This window comes from Homo sapiens, chromosome 10 (genome assembly GCF_000001405.40).
Source record: "Homo sapiens chromosome 10, GRCh38.p14 Primary Assembly".
Taxonomy (NCBI): Eukaryota; Metazoa; Chordata; class Mammalia; order Primates; family Hominidae; genus Homo; species Homo sapiens.
Genome location: NC_000010.11, coordinates 6,166,733 through 6,180,271, shown reverse-complemented (window position 1 = coordinate 6,180,271; position 13,539 = coordinate 6,166,733). Strand labels below are relative to the sequence as shown.

Genomic DNA, 13,539 nt, shown 5'->3' with positions numbered 1-13,539 from the left:
CCTGAGGTTCATGCTGTCTTGCAAAGCAATCATTCATTCATTCCTCCATCCATCCATTAAAAAGAATGTCAATTACAGCATTTTTTTTTTCTTTTAGAGACAGGGTCTCACTATGTTGCCCAGCTGCTCACAAACTCCTGGGCTCAAGCAATCCTCTTGCCTTGGCCTCCCAAAGTGCTGGGATTACACGCGAGCGCCACCGAGCCTGGCCCACACACATTTTTAAAGCTGGTTATTTTGAATGGTTAAATGCTGCGAGTCCAGCAACTCGACTCAGGACCCGACTAGCACCTGGATCCTGTCACCAGGATCGACCTCACCGGGCGTTTGTCAGTGGATGCTCCTGGTCTCGAGTTAGTTACATGCTTGGGTGTCACTCTGGGGGCTCAACGGTCTTCTCATCACTTATCACCTGGGAACAACCACTCCCTCCCCACTTTGGAGCCAGCAGCCTTTGGGGAAGGTGGGCTCTCGTGGTTTCTGTGCCTGGCAGAATGTCCTATAATCCTGGCGTCTGCATGCTCAGAAAACAGGGTCCCCTTCCCATCTGAGCTGCCGCAGCCTTGGCACCTTGGTTTACCAGTGCAACACAGCCCATGATGATCCAGTTGAGGGGAGACGGGTTCTTCCTTTTCTCCCCTCTTGCCTGCAGTCCTCCTGGGCCTCCACACCCGTCCTTCGACGACCCCCATGGACAGCAACATCCCACCATAGGAGAGAAACCCTTCTGTTCATTCCCGGGGGGCTCGCTAGGGAAACGCCTGAGTGATCTATTTTACAGCCTCCCCCATGCTCCATTCCTGCCCCTTGCAGCTGGGGGTTGTCCAGCACAGAAGGGAACAAGCTGTTAACTGATTAATGATCACAAAACTTCGAGAGAAAATAAAGGATTTGGATGATCCCTTATTTGGATTTGTGTGGCTCAAAAGCAGCGCAGCGCAGATGAGTTTGGGCTCTTGTCGGCTTCGCCCTCATCCACTGCTCTTCCCCAGAGGGAAGCCAGACTGCCAGGTTCAAATTCCAGCTGCCCCTTCCTTCCCGACTCACACGCTGTGTGACCTCGGACCAATAACTGAATTTCTCTGTGCCCCACTTTCTCCTCCAGTAAAACAAGGCAGATAAACAGAGCTCAAGAAGTGTTCACTGTTTTTCTTCTCAGCTGTTAAATGAATACTAGCTCCCTTTTATTGAATACGGCAGGCACGTGTTGGGCACTTTGAACACATTGCCTTTCATTTTTAGAACGACTCCACCAGGGAGATAGTACTGCTCTTCCAGAGATAAGAAAGCCGCCTCAGAGATGAAATCACCTGCGGAGGACCCCGTGCTGGGGAGGTGGTGGCTGGTAGTGAGACGGGAACTGGGTTGGGGACACTTCTCAAGGGAGTCAGGCCTCCAAGGTAGGGACCAGTGCGCTGCGTCCCGGCTCAGCCAGGCCACTCTCCAGAAGCAGATTGGGGCCGAGGGGCAGGTGGGGCTGGACACACCCCAGGCCCTCTGCCTTCAAATCCCCCCCAGTCCGTGCTGCACACGATGGGGTGGCTCTGACAGCAGTAAATCCTTTCAGATCAACTCGAGGCCGAGATGCCCACCCTGGCCCCGGGGAAAATAACGCCCAGCTGCTCCCCAGTCATCTCCACGGCCCAGGGCAGGCACCGAGGGAGGGCAGGAGGGACCCGTGGGGCGGACTCTGTCCATCCCGGAAGCTCTCCAGCAGCTCCGGGTCAGTGGCTTCACCTCCCTGTTGTGACCCTGACCCAAGTCCCCTCTGAGCCAGGCCTTCCTGGCCCCAAAGCTCCCGCCTGAGCTTGCAGCCCCCTCTCCTGCCTGCGTTTCCCCTAAGCCCATATCAGCCGCATGTCCTACGCCTCCTTCGCTGTTCTCTTGTTGCTGGTTGTGTCTCCCCAAGAGGACAGGGCATTTTTGTTTCTGTTGCTGATGGACCCTGGAACCAGCCTGGCCCACAGCAGGGGCGCCCCACACAGTGGTCAGGTGGGTGAGTGGAGGAGGAATGAATGAAGCTGCGCACATCAGCAGGTGCCCAGCATCACAGACAGGCCCAAAACTGGGGCAGAGACGCTGGGCAGATAAAGCCCGCCAGCTCCCCACAGCCCAAGGTCACCGGGCTTCAGATTCCCAAAGGTCCTGTCATCACCAAGACTGGGGCCAAACCAACACTTGCAGCCTGAGGGCCTCCTTGGACGCCTTGGCTCCCTCCTGACTAGGGTCTTCATGCCAGCCCTGAACCAGCATCCACCCTCTTGACAGCCACCCTCATGATATCCACCCTCACGTGTGCACCTCAGGTGACCACTCACACCCACGTGTCCACCCCACGTGCCCACCTCAGGTATCCACTCCCAGTGTGTCCACCCCATGTGCCCCAGGCCGTCAGTGGTGTACACCATTTCCCAAGTTCCCCACCTTATCCCTGCATCAGAAACATCCTGGCCAGGCACGGTGGCACACACCTGTAATCCCAAACTTTGGGAGGCCAAGGCGGATAGATCACCTGAGGTCGGGAGTTCGAGACCAGCCTAACATGGTGAAACCCCGTCTCTACTAAATACAAAACAAAATTAGCTCAGCATGGTGGCGGGCACCTGTAATCCCAGCTACTTGTTAGGCTGAGGCAGGAGAATTGCTTGAACCCGGGAGGCAGAGGTTGTAGTGAGCCGAGATCGCACCATTGCACTCCAGCCTGGGCAACAAGAGTGAAACTCCGTCTCAAAAAAAAAAAAGAAAAAGAAAGGAAAGAGAGAGCGAGAGAGAGAAAGAAAAGAAAAAGAAAGAAAGAAAGAAAGAAAGAAAGAAAGAAAGAAAGAAAGAAAGAGAAAGAAAAGAAAGGAAGAAAGAGAAAGAAGAAAGAAAGAAAGAAAGAAAGAAAGAAAGAAAGAAAGAAAGAAAGAAAGAAAGAGAAAAGAAAAGAAACATCCCACAAACTCCGTTTTATTGACCTCTACTATGTGTAAGAGAAAAAGCAATCTGGTGAGCATTCTAAGACATGAACGCCCATTTCAGTCAGCAGGCAGGTTCTGAATTTTCATCCTAACTACTCCAAGCAAACCACAGAAGCCGGTCAAGCCTACCCTGTTAGAGTTCACTGTAGAGCTAAGGAATCTGCCACACAGGAAACCATTAGGGAACAATTCAGTGCTGAACCAGGACACTGCATGACCAGGAGAACTTGAAGCCACAGGATCTGAGAGGCCAGCCTGGGAAATCAGGCCCCAGTGCAAGAAGCTCGTCTCCCACAGCAGGCAGGAGCGGGAAGTCAGGCACTGCCACCCACATCCTGGAGCCCAGTGACAGCCGTCTCCTGTCCTGTCCGGAACTCACTCGTGAGTCCCACCAGGTAGCATTTTATGTTCAGATTGCAGGTAAGGGCTTGTTTGAAGAGAGGGTTCTGTGGCTAGGACAGATCTGAAAACCACGATCTCATCCAAGCCATTAGTCTTCCAGAAAGTGGAACCGGAGACAGCTTGAGTCACTCACAAGTTAGAGACAGCCAGGACTAGGGAGGGCCCATGTCTCCTGGCACCCAAGTCACTTTTCAAATAAACATATTATGGAAATATAACATGGAGGCCGGGTGTGGTGGTGCAAGTCTGTAATCCCAGTGCTTTGGGTGGCCAAGGCAGGAGGATTGCTTGAGCCCAGGAGTTCAAGAACAGCCTGGACAACAAAGAACTTAAAAATTAGCCAGGCATGATGGCGCACACCTATGGTCCCAGCTACCTAGGAGGCTGAGGTGGGTGGATCACTTGAGCCCAGGATTCGAGGTTGCAGTGAGCGATGATGGGCCCACTGTACTCCAGCCTGGGCAACAGAGGGAGACCCCATCTCTTGCACAATTAAACAGGTAAATGAGAAGTATAGAATACATTCAGAATGCACAGCTCGACGATCCTCACAGGAAAGCATGCCTATGCAACCCCCACCCATCAACCAGGTCGCTACAGAAACCCCCGTGCCCCCTCCCATCACCACCTCAAGGGAACCCATGTCTTGACATCGGATACAGACGATCTGCAGGGTCTTGAACTTTCTATCTGTTTTACTTGGCCTGGTTTCCTTCCCTCAGCATTTTCCCCATAAGATTCTTCCACCGTGTCCCTTCCTGCAATAGCTGGTTCTTCTTCATCCTTCTGTAGTATTCCACTGCACGAACACCACACTTGACTTCTCCACACTGATGGAACGTTGCATTCTTTCCGTTTGGGGGCTCTCACCCGTTGGGGTGCCGCAGTGAACATTCTTCTGTGCACCTTGAGTGCATGCGTCTACGCCAAGGCGGGGGCTTCCTGGATCCTTCTGTGTGCAGATGCTTGGCTCTGGTAAATGCTGCCAAGATGATTGTATGGATTTCTACTCTGATATGAGAGTTGGTGTGAGTCACAGTCTCCCCAACATGTGGTCTTTTTCTTGTTAGCCACTCTAACTAAAACAGGTGTGGAGTAGTATCTCACCGTGGCTTTAATTTGCATCTCTTGAATAATTAGGGAGGTTGAAGTGCTTTCTATGCTTACGGGCCATTTGGGTAGCCTCTTTTATGACCACCACCAAATGTAGAACTGGGTCCCCAGGCTAAGCTTTTTTTGGCTTACTTGGTTTGGATTTTGTTTTGTTTTTGTCTTTCTCTACAGTGACTTTGTTGATCTAGGCAAATAAGAACAACACTGTTCCCGGATAAGAGCCCGGGCCCTGGAGCCAGCCAGCCAGGTTCCTATTGCAGCCCTAGCGCTGGTCAGTGAGAGATCCGGGCTAGTTGGCGCCTGCGGTGCCCCAGCTGTGCCATCTGTCATACGGGGATGACAACAGCACTGTGGTCCCCACACTCGGATGAGTTCCCACCTACAAACACGCAATCCATGCCAGGCAAATCCAAGTGCTCCCCACCTCAGGATATTTACTGTTATTGCCAACACTCTGTGTACCTGAAAGTGCCCCAAAGTGCCATGATGGAAAGGAGGGAAAGAAGAGAGGGGACGGAGCAAGACTGAGAGATGCAATCTCACAATTTTCTGGTCATAATGGCCATTGAAATGACAACCTCATATTCTCTCTACTTGTGCATGGGAACCAAAGAGGGGGTAAAACTGAGGTTTGAGGAGAGAAGCTGGGGACAATTTAATTTTGAAAGAAAAGAAACAAAACAGTCTGGGGGCACTGGCTCACGCCTGTAACCCCAGCACTGTGGGAGGCAGACGCACGGAACACTTGGGGTCAGGAATTCAAGACCAGCCTGGCCAACATGGTGAAACCCCATCTCTAATAAAAATACAAAAATTAGCCAGGCCTGGTGGCAGGCAGGTGTAATCTCAGCTACTTGGGAGGCTAAGGCAGGAGAACCCCTTGAACCTGGGAGGTGGAGGTTGCAGTGAGCCGAGATCGTGCCACTGTACTCCAGCCTACATGAGAGTGAGACTCCGTATTAAAAAAAAAAAAAAAATTAAAGAAAGAAACAAAGTAGAAGCTATTCCTCAGGCCCAGAGTTTTTACACACACAGGGACCCCAGAGCTTCCCCCAGCAGAGCCGTGGGAGGGCTGCACGGAGATCACAGGGCCAGAGCCACCAGAGCGCACCTTCCTCTGGGGCTTTGTGCCCGCACACTGGTCCCAACCCTGGCTCTCACCCTGCGCCAGTCACTGGGTCTCCACAGTCCAGGGGCAGCAGGCCCAGTGCCACAGAAACAGAAACACGCCTGACAAGCGAGCCCCAGCTCCTGGCTTTCTCGGCGGGGGCCGCAGGCAGCTCCAGGCCTCCAAGCCCAGGTCAGCCCGGGCCACGGAATCTCTCGCTCCACAGAACTTGAGCTGATGCCCGCGTCCCATCTGCCAGTGTGACGTGGCCAGGCAGGTGTGGGGGCACCGCGAGGCAGACGGAACAGCACTTGTTTATTGTTTACCAGAGAGGACTCTTCTAAGAACCCCTGTCCTGGATTGATAAACTAGGCTGTAAGGCTGGACGGGAAAGGTCACGATGTCTGCTTCTCCTGGTAAACAGGCCTGGGTCATTGGCATGAAGGAACCAGCAGATCTGTGCCAGGAGTCCAGAACAAATAACAAGAGATCCAAGCCCGTTACTTTACAGAAGAGGAGACTAAGGCTCAGAGAAGTCAGCAGAAAAAATACAGGCTTTGGAGTAAGGAGCACCGTGTAAGGACTAATGACTCCTTCTACTGGAACTTGCCTCTTCAAGCCGCTCCAATCCCCACACCTGGTCAATCCCCAAATCTCAACTCCCGCACACATCATCTATGTTCTTTCCGTGCCTACTATCTGTGCGGATTAAATTCTAAATGCCGCACCTGGACCACAGGCCCTCACTCCCCATCTCTTCCTCCCCGCCTCCCGTTTGCGTCCACTGCGCATTCCGCTGACAGGGACTCATCTTCCTAAGACAGTACTTTGGTTTTCTTCCCCTGCTCAGAAACAATCACTGGCTCCCGACTGCCACTAAGACCAAGTTCAACCTCCTTAGGCTTCACGGAAGGTCCTCTACAATGAGGCCTCAAGCAACCTTTCCCCTCCCTCTCTCTGCACCCCCGCAGCTGATCTGCTTCTCTCCCAAAAAAAGCCTTCCTGCACCTAGCCCCCCAGATCTCTGGAGACCCAGAAACCCCCTTTGCCTCTGTCTATTCCCTCTGTGTCTACTAACATCCCTCCCTTGCTGTTCTCCAAGCATTTATTTTCTGCACTACCTCAAATACTTGTCTGCACCTTTTCACGTGAGCATATATAGGTGGGGGAAGGGGTGTGTGTTTCCCGCCACACCCTAGGCCTCTTTAAGTTTGTATCTTGTTCTCTGCATTCAGCACAACCCCTAGCTCAACTCCTTCACAGGAAGCGGTGCTGTAACCATATGCACAGGACACATAAAAGCTGCACACAAGTGGACAACCTCTTCCTGAGCGCCCCCTCCAGGCTGAAAGCACACCACTGCCCGGCCCCAGCAGCTGAGGACTACAGGTTGCGCCTCGACCTCTTGTGGGCTGCTGGCAAACACAAACATGACCACCAGCAACGGCTGTGGTGGGACAGTTTCTGCTGTGGAAATGCCCAGGGTGAGGGCTCCAACTCTGCCTAGAAAGTCAGGGAGGGCTTCCTGGAGGAAGGGTGTGAGGTGAGTGGTGAAGGAGAGTTCCCGAAGTAGACAAGTAGGGCACAATGAGGACAGAACTGAGAGAGAGTGGACGTCCCAGGTTGAAGGACATGCAGGCCAAACCATGAAGGGAACACAGATCCTGTGTAAGGGGATGCTGGGAAGAGCTGGGCCACTGCAGTGGACGCTGGCCTAACAGGAGGTGAAGGTGTGGGAGATGAGCATGGAGCGGCCTGCTTTCAGGACAGAGGACAGATGCGCCCCAGCACTGCAGTCACAGGAACATCTAGCTCTGCCCTCCCTGGACAAGTTGTCTGCCTTGGGTGAACTTTTTTTTTTTTTTCTGAGATGAAGTCTTGTTCTGTGGCCCAGGCTGGAGTGCAGTGGCACAATCACAGCTCACTGCAGCCTCGACCTACTGGGCTCAAGCAATCCTCCTGCCTGAGCCTCCCAAGTAGCTGGAACCACAGGTATGCGCCACCACACCCAGCTAATGTTTTAATTTTTTGTAGAGATGGGGTCTCATCATGTTGCTCAGGCTGGTCTCAGATTCCTGGGCTCAAACAATCCTCCCACTTGCCATTTGCAAGCCCTGTGGTCTTGGATAAGTCACTTAATCATTCAGCACCCCGGTTTCCTCATTTGGAACATGGTAAAAAGAATACTGGCCCTGTGAAGTTGCAATTTTAAGTAACAGTGTTTAAATGTGCTTTCTGAACGTTTGCTCACACTGGTCGCAGTGTCACCGAGTGACAAGTATGAGGCCAGGAAAGGCCAGCGAAGTGTCCTGTCTGCCCAGCTCAGGGCTGCAGCAGAGGAACTGCACCCAGCTTGGACTCCTCTGCCTCCTCTGCTCCAAAAGGCCCGCCTGTGCGCCTCCCTCTCCTTCCTGCAAAGGAGCATGCTTCTCTCAGGCTGCACCACACCTTGCCCTCCCGACGTGGGCTGCAGAAGCCATGGGACCAAGAAGCAAATCGATACCAAGAAGCACAGCCGCATGCCTGATGGGAACTGATCCCAGCAAACGAGTGAGCCAGCAGGGGCTTTCTCGCAGTCCCCAGGGTGTTCCGGGAGAATGCGTCAGAGTATCTGTCCCGGACACCGGTGGTTTTCGGGTTTCCCTCCATGACTAAGACTCTCAATGGAGTACGGCGGCAAAAAGAGGAAAAGCACCAACTCATGTTTTCTGAATCAGCCCGCCAGCTGCAGAACTTTGGGCTCCAGCCAGATCTATGGAACAAGAATCTGCATCTGAACGCCATCTCCAAAGGACTCCTAGGCATTTGAGCTTGAGAAGCGCGGGCTCCCTCCCCACTCTCATCGTGGCTCTGAGCTGAGATATCCAAACTTTTCTGATCTGATATCCAAACTTTTCTACCCCCAACAACCTGTTTATCTATATCTAATATACATGTGCTATTGCACGAACACATTATGTACATGATAGAAATTTCATATAAAAAATAGATATCTAGGCCAGCAGTGGTGGCTCACACCTGTCATCTTGGCACTTTGGGAGGCCAAGGCAGGAGAATCTTTTGAGTCCAGGAGTTTGAGACCAGCCCGAGCAACACAGAGGGACCTCATCTCTACAAAAAATAAAATTAGCCGAGTGTGGCAGCACACGCCTATAGTCCCAGCTTCTTGGGAGGCTGAGCCGGGAGGATTCCTTGAGCCCAGGAGGTTGAGACTGCAGTGAGCCAAGATCGCGCCACTGCACTTCAACCCGAGCAACAGAACGAGACAGTCTCCAAAAAAAAAAAAAAGAAAGAAAGAACAATTTTAAAAGATGAGTTAAAAATAGAGAAGAAGGGCCGGGCCCGGTGGCTTACGTCTGTAATCCCAGCACTTTGGGAGGCTGAGGCGGGTGGATCACCTGAGGTCGGGAGTTCAAGACTAGCCTGACCAACATGGAGAAATCCCGTCTCTACTAAAAATACAAAATTAGCCAGGCGTGGTGGCATGGTGGTGCATGCCTGTAATCCCAGCTACTCGGGAGGCTGGGGCAGGAGAATCACTTGCACCCGGGAGACGGAGGTTGCGGTGAGCCAAGAACACGCCATTGCACCATTGCACCACTGCACTCCAGCCTGGGCAACAAGAGCGAAACTCCGTCTCATAAAAAAATAATAATAATAAAATAGAGAAGAAAGACTTTGTAATATTTCCTTCCTGCACGGAGTAATCCTTTTGCCCTAAGGAAGGGCCTGAGGGTATCCTGTCTTCCCAGCTGCTGGATTAGGCAGATTTCCCCTGGGGACCTGTCATCTTCCTCTTCCTGAGCTTTTCTTTTTTTTTTAACCTTTAATCTCTTTGGACTTTATCCTTGGGCTTTTCTGAAAGCACTTTCTGTCCAGCCCTTGCTGTCACCCAGCCAAACCTAGCTCCTCACAGCCCCCAGCAGCTTTCCTGCTCTGCTCAGCCACCGCCTCCACCTCCATACATTGTCTCCACCTCCATACCCTGTCCCCACCTCCATACTGTCCTCACCTCCACACTGTCCCCACCCTCTACTTTTGCTCCCTCTACTTTTGCTCCTGGTCTTTCCATTTGCACCTCAATGACCCCATGGATTTTTGTGGTTGAAAGTTTCTAGTCTGGTTTAAATATACTTTTTAAATTTTTTGTAGGAAGGAGGTCTATGTGGCCCAGGCCAGTCTCAAACTCCTGGCCTCAGGCAATCCTCCTTCCCAAAGTGCTGGGATTACAGGCATGCACCACTGCACCCTGCTGTAGTCCAGTTTATATTTTCGTCTTCTATATTTCATTTCTTAGAGGAACAAGAAAGAAAACATAAAGGAGGGGTGGGGGAACGAGTGAGTCTAGAAGGTGGGTTTCTTTAATGTTGAAGCAATTAGCGTTCTCTCTCGTTTCTAGATTACCAAACAATCCAAAAAGTTGCCCAGGATAAAGTGACTAGTCAAGCTATGGAGGCTTTAAATTGCTTCTAGACACACCATCACCTCTGTTTGGGGATTAAATATCTATTTCCAGAGTTCTGGTTAATGGTAAACAAGGTTCTTTTGCTTAAAAGGAAAACCATCGTCTTCATTAAAGAACCACGGGGTGGGCCCAGGCATGTCCTCCCACCCCCACTTCAAAATAACCACAAACAGAAGTCCCAGAAATTCAATGCAAAAGAGGGTCCCAAAATGTGACTAATTTAAGGGAACTGCAAATAGGCAAGAGGAAAAGTAAAGCCTTTCCAGAGAGCAAGGCCAGTGCACTCCCAATGTTTCAATCTTCTCAGTGTCCTAGACCCAGAACCAAAAGGAACCTGGGAAAGGTTTAAGGAAATACACATCCAAGACATAACAATGTTAGGGAAACATAAAACCGGGAGCCAGGCAGAAGCCAGTCCTTCCTCGGTGCTCAGACCCTCCTGGCCACTCCCATATATAGAGCTCAGGGCTGGGATTTCACCCTGGGACATAAACATTTAGAGAGTTCCAAATTCTGAGTGACTTTTAGATTCCACATGTTTGTAAGCCTCTAGAGAGCCCAGGATACATCACCGAATTCTTAAGCAGTACTGGACGCACTCTTCCTGTTCCTCAGCCACCCGCCTTCACCATCAGCGCAGCAAGTTCATACCCATCTTATCCCAGGAGAACCCTCAGGGCCTGGGGAACAGACACAATGGCCCAAGATCACAGTCAAATATCCTGGAGGAAGTGGGTCTACTCTGCATTTATGGGTGACGCCAGTCTCCTACCCACACCCCGACAACTCCATGGTGGCCCAGGTCTGAGCATTCGTGCCCCTTGCTCACTAAAATTAAGACCCCCTACCCTGCTCACAGCCGCCAGAGTCCCAATCACAATCCTCCCTGCGTAAGACTAAGAAAAGAACAGAAAATGTGCTCTCCCCCAGGTAGGTGCACCTGCCACCCAAGCAGATGCACTGTGACAAGAAAATATAAGAAGACTGGGCGCGGTGGCTCACGCCTGTAATCCCAGCACTTTGGGAGGCTGAGGCGGGGGGATCACTTGAGGTCAAGAGTTCGAGACCATCCTGGCCAACATGGCAAGACCCCGTCTCTACTAAAAATACAAAAAATTTGCCGGGCGTGGTGGCACATGCCTGTAGCCCCAGCTACTTGGGAGGCTGAGGCAAGATAATTGCTTGAACCAGGGGGAGGTTGCAGTGACCAGTGCACTCCAGCCTGGGTGACAGAGCGAGACTCTGGCTCAAAAAGAGAAAGCATAAGGAGTGGGGACTTTTAGATAACTTTTCGGGGGGCAGACGGGAGAGGCATTCAACGAAGGACCACTTTAGGAGGTTGTCTGGGCAGATGGATTCCGTGAAGTGCTTTGAATGTAAGTCAGACCACTGGGGCTGCCTCGCTCCTGTCGCGCACATTCACCCACATCCATCCCCAGGCCTGAATGTAAGGGCTCAAACAGACCTGCAAATACACTCGGCACCTGCGAGTGGGCAGCTGCTGTGCAGACCACCCCATCCCATTTTCTGGTCCGTTAAACTCATGCATAATGGTCGTAGCAATGGCCAAGTTGTCATTGCTGGGCAGAAAGTTCCTTTAAGACAGGAATAATAAGGCCCACTTAGGAAGCACTCTGGATTGTAATAGGGTTTCCAGTGGCCACCAGCAGGGTGGCATCCTGATTTTCTACCAGGCCATGTAGAAGCCTTTTGTGCTTAGCTGCTCGTGTTAATCCTCACAACTGCATAAGGCTGACACATCAGGGAACTGAAGCACAGAGATGTTTGGGAAATTCTCCAAGGTCACACAGCTACTCAGTGGTGGAGGTGGCATCAGAACCCAGGAAGGCTGACTGAAGCCACCGTTCTGCCTCGCTCACTGGCATCCTCAGCCTCCAGCCTGAGGCAGGACATTCTAGGACAGCTGATGAATACAAGCATGGTCAGTGTGGGTGGCCAGGGCCCTCGCTCAGCAAGTGGGAGCAAAGTGGAGGATTCCAGGACTCACTACCTCATGATCTTCCACCAGCCTCCCACTACCTCTAGTCACCCCTACCTAAGCTGCCCCTCTGTATGAAAATGCTGGGGTTGGAGAGTGGGGCAGGCTAGGGAAAGAAGACAATGTGATTTAACCTGTCCCTAAATGGTTAGATAGCATCTCTGGAGTTAAAGATCTCAGCTATCAGTTAAAATGCAAACTGAGCTACTATCTGTCATTTAGAGATGACGCAGATGAAGAAGCTGAGGATGTGACCTAGAAAAAAGCAGGAACGACCTAGGGACTTAGCAAGGGACAAAGGACCAGAAACAGGCAAAGAGAAACAAAATTTAACCTTCTCTACAGTGTCGCTTAGGGCTGGGCTGGCTATCTCCATAGATATCCAATTCCTTAACACCTAAGGGCGTAGGAGAGGAATGAGACCAAGGTTTAGGATGAATAATCTAGGAAATCCCTTGAAAGGAAGAAAAGAGGATCATCAGAGACATCTTCTGGAGCTCCACAAACTGCTCAGAGCAGAGAGGCCACCAGATACGAATGCTGCCTCAGATAATCCAATGGAGGAAGAGGGTTTGGCTGGTATTTTCTGGCTGAGTTCTTGATAAGAAACTGTAATCACATCTGCTAGCTAGGGATCCAAGAAAAACAAGATATTGTCTCTTTATACACATTCCACAGCCCCTACCTTCTCTCAAGAGATGTTAAAATGGCTTAAAATGTGTTAAAATGTGACAATTTAATAAATGTGGCAGAAACAAAAAAGAGACTCCTAAAGTATTCCTCTCTTCAGAGAGTATGAAGCTATTAATTCAGCAAATGAATCCAGGAGCTCAGAAAGGGTTACCCCGTTATGCATCCTCACTACAGACTCAGTATCAGACAGACACTGAGGACCGCAGAGCTGAATGAGACCCGCACAGGCGTTTTCCTCCCGACTTCTCAGAGGACTGTACCTGGTACCACCTGGAGGGCTGAAACGTACTCAGGTAAAAGTTACTCACTCCTCCAGTCCTCAGCTCTTCCTGTGTGAGTCCCATGCTGGCCTTGTCTAGGCACATGGGGTGGAGGGGAGGAGTGTCAGATTTGCAAAAAAGAAAGGCTAGGAGGCCAGGCAAGGTGGCTCACGCCTGTAATCCCAGCACTTTGGGAGGCCGAGGCGGGCCCATCACCTGAGATGGGGAGTTCCTGACCAACATGGAGAAACTCCATCTCCACTGAAAATACAAAATTAGCAGGGCATGGTGGTGCATGCCTGTAATCCCAGCTACTCGGGAGGCTGAGACAGGAGAATTGCTTTAAACTGGGAGGCAGAGGTTTCGGTGAGCTGAGATCGCACCATTGCACTCTAGCCTAGGCAACAAGAGCCAAACTCTGTCTCAAATAAAAAAAAAAAAAAAAAAAAAGAAGAAGAAGGGCTAGGAGAAGTGGGAAAGGTGGACTGCAGTGGAATACTGTGACCACATTTGTTAAACTCAAAGTCATGATTATTCTT

The 13,539-nt window shown here is 51.2% G+C and overlaps 1 protein-coding gene across 8 annotated transcripts in view, besides 1 other annotated feature; it reads right to left on the bottom strand.

Moving 5' to 3' along the window:
• Window positions 1–13,539, bottom strand: part of PFKFB3 (6-phosphofructo-2-kinase/fructose-2,6-biphosphatase 3) — a 181,717-nt gene that overhangs the window by 146,366 nt on the left and 21,812 nt on the right. The window lies entirely within an intron of this gene.
• Window positions 6,813–6,862: an enhancer, noted in NCBI's record as "active region_2963". NCBI's record gives its function as "activates an Ori minimal core promoter by ATAC-STARR-seq in GM12878 lymphoblastoid cells {active_cell/tissue: GM12878}" and the evidence as "EXISTENCE:reporter gene assay evidence [ECO:0000049][PMID:35858748]".